General features: G+C 44.7%; 1 annotated feature.

Moving 5' to 3' along the window:
* Nucleotides 7439-7938: an enhancer, noted in NCBI's record as "H3K4me1 hESC enhancer chr17:63625333-63625832 (GRCh37/hg19 assembly coordinates)". NCBI's record gives its function as "activates a minimal SCP1, AML or CMV promoter by ChIP-STARR-seq in naive H9 embryonic stem cells {active_cell/tissue: H9 hESC(naive)}" and the evidence as "EXISTENCE:reporter gene assay evidence [ECO:0000049][PMID:30033119]".

The raw sequence follows: 12287 nt of genomic DNA on the forward strand, positions 1-12287 counted from the left end.
TACTTCCAGTTTTACATATATTTCTGGGAACGAAACTCAGGGCTTGTCCACAATACTACAATTTTCCTGTGTTGGGATCCTCTCTACTTGAAGTGCCTGGGAGAAAAGCACATCCTACTCAGCAGTGAGTGGTAAGTAGTCTAAAATCAAGCTCACCATCACCCCCAGCATTTCTTAGCTTGATTTCAGCCAATGCCACCTGGCAGAAAAGTGGCACCACTTTTACGATACCAGCCACCGAAAAATCCCAAGTCCATGCTACCAACCTCTCTCTCACTGTTCGGTCTCTGCGATCGACTAGCTAACTGACATGCTTTAAAGTTGCAACTTGGTCTCAACTTCTCTTTTTCCACCTGGGAGAGGCACATTCTATTACTAAAAGAGAAATCCAGGGCTGGATTCATGGTGGCACAGCCCCCAGTTTTTGGTACATCTACTCAAACCATAGTCAATTCTACAGGCGTTCCTGGTAGGGAATGCTACCCCCAACACGCTCTCAAAGCTATGCTACAGTCAGTTTGAGCTGACTGAATTTACCCAACATCTCAAGGGCATCGGGACAAATTGGCTTTCCTTTGCCACTTCTTTGAAGGACAGTTAGCAGATCAAAAGCATTTACTGAATTTACTTCTATAGCTCCCTCCCCACCCCTGGAGACTGTAAAGTACCCAAATGTCCTGTTCTCAATTTTCGTTAGTAGAAAAAGTCATTTTCCCCCTTCCTTCCTCTAAATAAGCTCACAACCTAAACTATTTGACAGAATTGTAATGTCTTGCCTTGCTTTGTAAGTCCCTATTAATAACTTTTAGTGTTGGCATGAAGGAATTTTGGTGCCAAACTATGAAAAACATAAGCAAAGGAAGATATTTATGACTTCTAGACATTGTAGTAAGCATTTATAAAATTTACTAAAGAATTTAGGATATGAAAATGTTTTTATGTAGTAAGAAAGTCTTACCAGTATTTACAGAATTTAACAAGTTTAATTTCCCTTTTAAAGAGTTGTATTATCTTCTGGTGTTCAATACTAAAGCCCCTTACATGGCTGTTTTTTGTTTTTTTGAGATGGAGTTTCGCTCTTGTTGCCCATGCTGGAGTGCAGTGGCGTGATCTCAGCTCACTGCAACCTCCGCCTCCCAGGTCCAAGCGATTCTCCTGTCTCAGCTTCCTGAGTAGCTGGGATTACAGGTGCCTCCCACTATGCCAGGCTAATTTTTGGTATTTTTTTTTGGTAGAGACAGCGTTTTACCATGTTGGCCAGGCTGGTCTCAAACTCCTGACCTCAGGTGATCCGCCCACCTCAGCCTCCCAAAGTGCTGGGATTACAGGTGTGAGCCACCACACCCAGCCTACATGGCTGTTTTTAATGCAATCTTCTCTATCCCCAAAATGTTTCTATAGTTTGGATGTGTGTCTCTGTCCAAACCTCATGTTCAAATGTAATCCTCAATGGTGAAGGTGGGTGGGGCCTGGTGGGAATTGACTGGATCACGGGGGCATATTTCTTTTATTTTTTTCTTTTTTTTGAGACAGGGTCTCATTCTGTTGCCCAGGCCAGAATGCAGTGGGGTGATCACGGCTCACTACAACCTTGACCTTCCAGATTCAAGCAATCCTCCCACTTGAACCTCCCAAGTAGCTGGGACCAAAGGCACATACCACCACGCCCAGCTAATTTTTGTATTTTTTGTAGAGACAGGGTTTTGCTATGTTGCCCAGGCTGGTCTCAAACTCTTGAGCTCAAACAATCCAATTTGCCTTGGCCTCCCAAAGTGCTGGGATTATAGGCATGAGCCACCACGTTGGGCCAACAGGAAGATATCTAATGTATGATTAAGCACCATCTCCTTGATGCTGTCCTTTTGATAGTGAGTTCTCATGAGATCTGGTTGTTTAAAAGTGTGTAGCACCTGCTCCCACCTCCTTGCTCCTGCACCTGCCATGTAAGACGCCTGCTTCCTCGTCACCTTCCACCATGATTGGAAGTATCCTGAGGCCTTCCTAGAAGCTGAGCAGATGCCAGCGCCGTGCTTCCTGTATAGCCTGCAGAACTGTGAGGGAATTAATCCTCTTTTTTTTTTTTTGAGATGGAGTCTCGCTCTGTCACCCAGGCTGGAGTGCAGTAGCACGATCTCAGCTCACTGCAAGCTCCTGGGTTCACACCATTCTCCTGCCTCAGCCTCCTGAGTAGCTGGGACTACAGGTGCCTGCCACCAGGCCCAGCTAATTTTTTTTTTTTTGTATTTTTAGTAGAGACGGGGTTTCGCCGTGTTAGCCAGGATGGTCTTGATCTCCTGACCTTGTGATCCTCCCGCCTAGGCCTCCCAAAGTGCTGGTATTACAGGCCTGAGCCACTGTGCCCCACCCTCTTTTCTTTATAAATTACCCAATCTCAGGTTTATTTTTTTTTATAGCAATGTAAGAATGGCCTAATACAATGTCTTCACAATCATTTGCCTGGGTTAACTATTGTTTGCTTGTTTTTTGAGGGGAGTGCTGGATAATATTAATAAGAGTAGTTTTGTGAATAAGTATACTAACTTGAGGTTAAGTTCTACCTAAATATCAGCTTAAGTCAAAGTTGACATTCTGTTGTTGTTAGAATAAAAATGCCTGAAAACCAATGATAATTCCAGAATTTAATATTAGTAAGGATCAGAAGCAAAAATATTTTACTGAGTGCAGAGGAACTTCTCTCTCAGAGGATCCATTTTATTATCAGGATTTATCCCGAGGGAGGGCTAGCTGGCAAAGTGGCTAACTTCGTTTAGCAACTCTACAAAATTTATAAATTGGTGCAGACTGTAGGATGAGAGAAGAGCTGAAAAACATTTCCCTAAACTTTCGTAAATAATCCAGGATACCAATTCACATGGCCAGGCCTGTATGAGCTCCAGTGATTTTGTGGGTTTAGTGTCTGCTGGAGCCACCCCCCACTGCAAACTGTTATCTAGCATCAAAGGAACTTCCTCCAATCCCTAAGGAACTCTCAGAATGTCTGGTCCACTCGCCACTAAGCTCAGGACTCTAGATGTCTGGGAGCCACTACACTCTTTAGTTTGGACCCTCAAGGAATTTAGATGTGTCCGTCTAACCCACTGCCCATTCTGACTTCCTCCTCAAAGGCAAATTCAAAGGACTTTATCGTCTTTGAAGTACCCTTTGTCTAACCCTGCTGGCCACCCCTCTCTTATCCACTACTTCTCTTTCAAAAACTCGTGCGGTGGCTCATGCCTATAATCCCAGTACTTTGGGAGGCGGAGACGGGCGGATCACAAGGTCAGGAGTTCGAGACCAGCCTGACCAACATGGTGAAATCCCGTCTCTACTAAAAATACAAAAATTAGCCAGGTGTGGTGGCGTGCACCTGTAATCCCAGCTACTCAGGAGGCTGAGGCAGGAGAATCGCTTGAACCGGGGAGGTGGAGGTTGCATTGAGCCGAGATTGCGCCACTGCACTCCAGCCTGGGTGACAGAGTGAGAGCCCATCTCAAAAAACAAACAAAAACCAAAAAAACTCCTTTCCTCAGCTTCCAGAAAGAACAGTGCACTCTCCCCTGGTCCTCTCTGATTCCTCTTCCTCTCCTTTTCTGTTTTCCCCAAGACCTTCCCCTTCTTGGTGAAACCACTGGCTCTCCCAGCATCAACTGTAACCCAGATGTTCCTGGCTTGACAAATCTCTGGGCCCTGACCCCGGTTTCCAGTTGCCTGATGAAGCTCATTATATCTAAACCCAAACTCATCCTTCTTCCCTGACTCAAACCTGTGCCACACACCTTTTGAGGCTAGAAGGCTTGGCCCCATGTCTTCTGAAGCTGGAAGCCTTGGCCCCACATCTGTTTCTTTTTTGCAATCATCTCATTTATTCAGGTGTCATGGTGGCTACTGAATCTTTGCCCCACTTTCCATTCACAGAGAAACGCCTCTCTCACTGACGACTTGGACCAATTTATGGGAATACTGCACACATTGCTTACATTTTTCTCTGCCTGCAGCCTCTTGTCTCTTCTAATCCAGGGGTCCCCAACCCCCGGGCTGAGGACCTGTACTGGTGTGTGGCCTGTTAGGAATGGGACCTCACAACAGGAGATGAGCCGCCTTGGAGCAAGCATTACCACCTGAGCTCCACCCTGTCAGATCAGGGTGGCATTCGATTCTCACAGGAGTGTGAACCCTATTGTGAACTGTGCATGCGAGAGATCTAAGTTGCATGCTCTTTATGAGTCTAATGCCTGATGATCCGAAGTGGAACCATTTTATCCTGAAACCATCCCCACTGTGTCCTACCCCCTGCCCCTACCCTGTTCGTGGAAAAATTGTCTTCCATGAAACTGGTCCCTGGTGCCAAAAAAGGTTGGGGACCGCTGCTCTAATCCACCCCATCTCCGCTGGGTGCGGTGGCTTATGTGTGTAATCCCAGCACTTTGGGAGGCTGAGGTGGGCAGATCACCTGAGGTCAGGAGTTCAAGACCAGCCTGGCCAACATGGTGAAACCCTGTTTCTACTAAAAAATACAAAAACTAGCCAGGCGTGGTGGCAGGTGCCTGTAATCTCAGCTACTCAGGAGGCTGAGGAAGGGAGAATTGTTTGAGCCCGGGAGGCGGAGGTTGCAGTGAGCCGAGATCGTGCCACTGCACTCCAGTCTGGGCAACAGAGTAAGACTCCATCTAAAAAAAAAAAAAAAAAAAAAAAATTCCATCCCATTTCATGCTGTAGCTGGACACATGCTTATACAGCAATTTCTGATGATGTTATTCCCCTGTTCAAATGACTCTAATTGCTCCCCTCTTGCTTATAAAATAACCTCCAAACTTTTCCTGCATGGAGACAATGCATTCTAGTGAAAAGAGCAAAAGTGAGTGAATCAGAGACACAAGGGTTCCAACTGCTGCTTTTGCCAGATGTTAGATATGTGGCCTTGGACAAATTTCCAAACTTCTCTTTGCTTCAGCTTCCCCAAATAGAAATAAGACTTATAAACTTATTGAGAATTGTCATAAAATTAAAACAGCCTTCATTTATTGAAAGTTTATTGCATGTTAGACTTTTTAAAATGCAACACCTCATTTAATCTTCATAACCATGTTCTACTATTCCTCTATTTTCTTTTTTTTTCTTTTCTTTCTTTTTTTCTTTTTTTTTCTTTTTTGAGACAGAATCTCTCTCTGTCACCCAGGCTGGAGTGAAGTGGCGCGATCTTGGCTCACCACAACCTCCGCCTCCGGGGTTCAAGTGATTCTCACGCCTCAACCTCCTGAGTAGCTGAGACTACAGGCATGCACCACCACACCTGGCTAATTTTTGTATTTTTAGTACAGATGGGGTTTTGCCATGTTGGCCAGTCTGGTCTTGAACTCCTGGCCTCAAGTGACCCGCCCACCTTAGCCTCCCAAAGTGCTGAGATTACAGGCGTGAGTCACTGCACCTGGCCTTATTCCTCTATTTTTTAGGATCAGGAAACTCGGACTCAGAGAAGCTAAGCACCCAGCCCAATTCCAGATCCTTAACTGACCTGTGCTGAGGCCTTGCCTAGTACTGCAGGTAGACAGTACATGTAGTTCCCTTTGTCTTCCATAATCTGACTCTGACACACCTTCAAAAGCTTATCTCATGCTAGTTTTCTCCCAGCAGTTGTCATCTCCATGGTCTGAACTACCTGACCGGCTGCGACTCCACCTACAAGGCCCTTCCCTGCATTTCTACCTATTGAAGTCCTACTGCTATCCTAAACTCTAGCTAAGTGTCACCTCTTCCTAGAAGACCTGATTGCAAATGTTCCTGCCTCCCTGGAAATCTCATAATACTTGCCATTTCTCTTACGCAAAGATCATGTTTTCTCTTATATTATCATTTTTTCCCTTTTGTGCATATGTTTTATTTTCCTTCTTGAATCACAAACTCTTTCTGGGCAAGGAGCATGTTGCCAAAGTCTTATTCAACCTTGTTTGCCTTTTAATTCCAGGCTCAGTCCCTGGGACAGATGAGGCACTTGCAAAATTCTGTAGAATATTTAATTTTTGCACAAATTTAATCCAGCTTTGAAGCGTTGAGCTCAATCTACAGTCTGCATGAAGTGAATGTGTTCCTCACGTGTTAGAGGTGATATCACAGGGAGAACAGTAATTACAATGTGAGATGGAGATGGGGCCAATTAGTCTTTCTTCTTTGCCAATAAAAAGGCAGAGAGAGTGAACATTATATGGTTTTAGGCAAAGTACCTGACAGCAGGGACCAGCGGTAGGAGGTCTACTTAGGTTTGCTATCTTAATTAGCCTATTTAAAAAAGATTTCTGGCACTATAAAGATGTGCGGATTTGCCTTTGAAGGTATATGGATTTACCATCACTCTCGCGTGCACGCACACACACCCTCCCACACACACCCCACAATCCAAATAAGACAGTAGAAAGGGTTTTAAAAGAAAACTCTTAATCTACCCCATTTCTATTTCAGCAGCTTCCAAATTCACATGCCCGAATGCAATAAATAAAAATACTGGAGAAGAAAATCAGATAATACAAGTGGGAACTCAGTCAGAGAAAGGTTCTCTAACATTGTAGGAAATATCACTCTAGGCAGAAAACTGCTACCAGATCCTTAACTCTGAGAAAGAACAGGTGGAGACATGATGAGTCAACGCCGCTGAGGCTTCACGCAGCAGCCACCGTGGCCCGGCTTGGGTAAATATTTTTATTACAAACACAGTGATGCGTAATGGGCCAAACGATCAGTCCTGACAAAGATTGCCCACAGGACTGTGACACTGCAGTAGCTGGGAAAGTGGGCTAGAACCCGAGCTTACACGAACCTGACGAGCAGCATCAGGGTTGATGTCAGGTTAGTGACAGCTGCCGTCACCTCACAGGAAGCAAAACTGGGAAATGCAAAATTCAGTTTTGAGAAATCTCAGTCGATGGCAAGACGTTTCTTTAAAAACTGCAAGATTCGCAGGACCCTCCACGATCCTCTTAGGCAAATATTTCTTCTTAAGGAAACAGTGTCTTTTCTATTTTTCTTTCTCCCTCAAACTCTCACAGGCTCTGCTTCTTGGACTGAGCTGAATTCAGTCAAACCAACCGTTTAGATGTCTTCTTTCTTCCTTCCTTCCTTCCTTTTCTTTTCTTCCTTCCTTCTTTCTTTCTTTCTCTCTCTCCTTCCTTCCTTCCCTCGGTCCCTCCCTCCCTCTCTCCCTTTCTTTCTTTCTTTTTTAGAGATGGAGTCTCACCCTCTCACCCAGACTGGAGTGCAGTGGCGCGACCTCGGCTCACTGCAACCTCAACCTCCCGGGTTCAAGCGATTCTCCTGCCTCAGCTTCCAAAGTAGCTGGGATTACAGGCATGCGCCACTACGCCCAGCTACTTTTTGTATTTTTTAAGTAGAGACAGGGTTTCACAATATGTTGGCCAGGCTGGTCCCGAACTCCTGACTGCAGGTGATCCGCCGGCCTTGGCCTTCCAAAGTGCTGGATTACAGGTGCAAGCCACCTTGCCCAGCCTGTTTAGCTATTTTCAAAACACCTGCGGATCACAGGGTTAGACCAATTGTCTGGTGACTGTGGCATTCAGTAAGATGTGGAGAGTTAAGAGAGCAGAGGGGCCGCCCAGCCCCTGCACCTGGCTCCCTTTACACAGTTACCTTCTCCCCCGACCCCCAGGCTCAGGCTGAGAAGAATGAGATCCAGGAGATGGGCTAAGAGGCCAGGAGAGAGAGAACTGGGCTGTGGTGGTGAGAAAGTGAGAAAGCTAACGGGGCAATTAGAAGGCTGATTCATTTGTTTATCTAGATGATTATGCTCTACTTAGTTGAATAGTTTTGAAGTGCTCTGTGGTTCAGGAAATTTCCTCTCAAAGGCTTATCAGGTCCACAGCCTTCCATGTGCCTGACAGTTCCACGAAAGAAGGCTCCTGAGCACAGGGTATGGGTTTTGAGGGACCTTTTAATAATACGCTTGCTAATATAATTAAGTCAAGTAATGCATACCAAACCTCAAGCCGAGGAGAGGTGAAAAAAAATTCAACTAAGGTTACTTCCATCTTTTAAAAGAACAGAGAAAAAAGACATGGCCTCTTAAATATCCCTAACTCAGGGTTTCCCAAGAAGTGTTTCTAAATCCCCAACTGGACCTGTGATTCTAGAAATGCAACATAGATTAACAGAATTTTTGAACAGGAAGGAACTTTTAAGCAATATCTTAGGTTTGGGCTTCTCTGATCAATATTTCACAGAACTCTACAATAAAATATGTGAGTCACAGAAGAAGCTGAAAGATAATTCCATGGATCAAATCATTTTAGGAAATTGCAGATTAAAGAAAGGTAGGCCGGGCGCAGTGGCTTATGCCTGTAATTCCAGCACTTTGGGAGGCTGAGGCAGGCGGATCACCTGAGGTCAGGAGTTTGAGACCTGCCTGACCAACATGGTGAAACCCCGCCTCTACTTAAAATACAAAATTAGCCGGGCATGGTGGCACATGCCTGTAATCCCAGCTACTCGGGAGGCTGAGGCAGGAGAATCACTTGAACCCGGGTGGTGGGGGTTGCAGTGAGCCGAGATCACCCCATTGCACTCCAGCCTGGGCGACAAGAGCGAAACTCTGTCTTAAAAAAAAAAAAAAAGAAAAGAAAAGAAAAAAGAAAGATAAATTGGTTTCTTTAGCAAAGGGTGTGGCAGCTTACAGACGGCAACAGATTCTTTGCCTTTGCTGGGTCTGCGTCCTCCGCCCTTGTCTCTGGGTAGGTTCTGTCTTTGACAGTTGAAGTGATCCTGCCAGTTTCTGGGCACTGGCCTTATGGGGTTGGTAGCTTCAATGTCTGGTCTCTGGCTGGGCTTGCACTGGAGGGCACCTCAAAGCTGCCATTCCCCAGCAGATGGGCAGCATCAGTTGCCCACCATGTGAATGGGTCTTGTGGGCTTGAGCCCTTGCCTCCCATGACTGCCACACCAGCCAACACCTGACTGCACCTGCCTGAAACCCAAGTGAGAACAGCCTAGCTGAGCCCGATGAACCCTCAGCACTGAGCGAGATGACAGGAAGTTACTGTTTAAGCCATTAAGTTTTGGGGTGGTTCATGTTGCTGTATGGCACACAGCTGGCAATCAGCAACTATTTATTTAATGAATGAATGACTGAGTGAGTGACTGAGTAAATGTGAATCTTCCAGAGGGTGATATAGCACGTCACATTTCCTAAATATGACACCTGAACACTTCAAGACAAATTTTGCAGAACAGGGCTTGACGGAATGCTAGTCTGAGAAACAATAAATGAGAAGGTTGAAATGGTAGAGTTTGGGAAATATTGGTCGAGTTATGCCCTTTTATGTTATAGATTAGAAAAGTGAGCCAGACAGGTCAAGAGAATTGCCCAAGGAAACAAAACTAATTGTTAGACTCCACCTGTGAACGAATCTCCTTTCCTAGCTAAAGTAAAGGGTATGGATACAATGGTCTCCCTCCCATAGCCACATTTTAGCTAATTAAATAGATCAGGCTTCTAACTTGGTAGCCCTCTCTTTCTGTTCCATGATAAAGTCTTTGTGTCCAACTAGCCATTTTCCATGAGACCTCTTTTACGTGGCAGACTTCCAAAGATGATATAAGAGTATGAATTAGGCTAGGTGCAGTGGCTCACACCTGTAATCCCAGCACTTTGGGAGGCCAAGGCGGGCAGACCACTTGAGGCCATGAGTTTGAGACCAGCCTGGCCAACATGGTAAAACCCCATCTCTACTAAAAATAAAAAAAATTAGCTGGGCATGGCGGTGCACACCTGTAATCCCAGCTACTTGGGAGGCTGAGGCAGAAGAATCGCTTGAACCCACAAGGCGGAGGTTGCAGTGAGCTGAGATCGCACCACTGCACTCTAGCCTGGGCAACAGAGCAACAGAGCAAGACTGTCTCCAAAAAATAAAAAAAAATAAAAAAATATATGTATTAGCCTAAAGTCTAGATTAAGCGTTCTCAAAATAGCAGCACCCATAGCAACATCTTGGTTCTTTGGTTCTTTTGGTTTTCGGTCCAGTTCATTTGCCTGGACTGGGTGCGGTGGCTCATGCCTGTAATCCCAGCACTTTGAGAGGCCGAGGTGGGTGGATCACCAGAGGTCGGGAGTTCCAGACCAGCCTGACCAACATGGAGAAACCCTGTCACTACTAAAAATACAAAATTAGCTGGGCATGGTGGTCCATCCCTGTAGTCCCAGCTACTCGGGAGGCTGAGGCAGGAGAATCGCTTGAACCCGGAGGTGGAGGTTGCAGTGAGCCGAGATCGTGCCATTGCACTCCAGCCTGCGCAACAAGAGTGAAATTCCGTCTTAAAAACAAAGAAACAAAACAAAACAAAACAAACATTTGTCTGACGGAAATCCTCGCTTAAAATGTAAATGTCTGGAAGAACAGATTTTCAGTGGAATTAGCTATCAGTGAGGAATCCAGATTTTAAAATTTCTTCAGTCTTATGTTACAAATTTAATTTCTCTTCCTCCATATGAGAAGTAAATCACATGATCTGATTTTAAAACAATATAGTGAAGAATGTTAACACTAGCCAGCTCAAAATCTAGGGTATTCCATTTTACTTTTCTTTCTTTTTTTAGACAGTCTTGCTCTGTTGCCCAGGCTGGAGTGCAATGGCGCCATCTCAGCTCACTGCAACCTCCACCTCCCAGGTTCAAGCGATTCTCCTGTGTCAGCCTCCCAAGCAGCTGGGATTACAGGTGCACGCCACCAGGCCAGCTAAATATTTTTTTGTATTTTTACTAGAGACAGGATTTCACCATGTTGGCCAGGATAGTCTCAATCTACTGACCTTGTGATCTGCCCACCTCAGCCTCCCAGAGTGCTGGGATTACAAGCATGAGCCACTGCGCCTGGCCTCCATTTCCACATTTCAAATACCATTACAGCCTATGCCACTGCTTCCTAATCAAGTCTCCAAAGCCAAGAACCACTTCAATATCAGTTGAAAGAAAGTTTTATCTAATTATCTTCATTCCCCACTTTGAATTGACCAACCATGTATCTTTTTCTGGTTTTATCAAAGGGGCTGCCAGGACAAAAGCACATCCAATTTTAAGTAGGCTTTAGTTAGCAGACTTAAAATTGATCATGTATTTTAGTTTCAGTAACTTGCAATTCCTACACCCTTTGATAATTCACTTTAAAGAGCAAACCGTCTTTAATGACAAGGCTTAAAAGAGACGACCTTTCTGAACAAAATATGAAAGCTCAGAAGAGATAGTTCTTTTAAGGAAACTATGAATTAAAATGACCTTGTGTTCTGAAACTTTTCTCCCACCATTTTTGATGTTTTACCTTTCCTTTTTACTCTTAGAAAGCAAGCTAAGACACCACTGCCTTCTATGGATGGTGATGCACTTCAATAAGAGGGCTGTTAATTGTTAATTCCAACTCACAGTTTCTTCTGTCTGCACTGTCTCTGCAGATGCCTTTAATGAGGTTGCTCACCACTGTAAGCATACACCTGTTTCTGAAGAAATCACTGTTGATATGTGACATCACAGGATAATGTTTGAATCTGAGCTATTTCCCTTTAATCACAGTCAATTCTTTTGTACGGTCTAGGAAGCAAGTCCGTCATTCTCTGTTCCCTCAGTCTTCCTGTTTTCTTCATTATGCCCCGATGGCTGCCTTCTGTGAAGTTCATTGTTGAGTGGGGAGGTTGCAAAATCAGAGCTCAGACCCCTGAAAGGGCGCACTGCTTGGTGATGCAGAAATGGTGGACTCGAACAAAATTGTGACATACGTGGATGACTGAATAGCTAACTTTGCTGTTAGCCCTTCTCTTCCCTGACCCCGTAAGTGGATAATAACAAACACCAAGAACCTGGGGTTGCAGAGTGTTTCTTCTGCTTGGCTTGTTCCAAACCCTTTACCAGCCACTACCTGTTGACAATTACGTGTTGAAATAGAAAAAGCACAGGTGGATGACTCAGGTACAGCAGCCAATAATGATAACTTGAGATGTAACAAAATTAGGTACTTGTGATGAACAATTGATCTTCCAGCAGATAAAAGAACAGATGGAATCTTAGATGATTTTATAATAAGGCACAGTGTTTATAATTTATTTCCTGAGCTCTTTCTTTTTCTCCCAGTAGCCATTTCTATACTCACCGCTCAACTCGGTAAGGAATTTCAAACATGCCAAATGCAATTTTTCTTTCTCTTCCTTTATCAGAGAACGTTCACAAAGACATTAGAGTCAACCATCCATTCCTATCACATCCAATCAAAGTGACCTAAAGTTTCATTCCCTTTACTCCCAGA

Source organism: Homo sapiens, chromosome 17, assembly GCF_000001405.40.
Source record: "Homo sapiens chromosome 17, GRCh38.p14 Primary Assembly".
In the NCBI taxonomy this organism is placed as follows: Eukaryota; Metazoa; Chordata; class Mammalia; order Primates; family Hominidae; genus Homo; species Homo sapiens.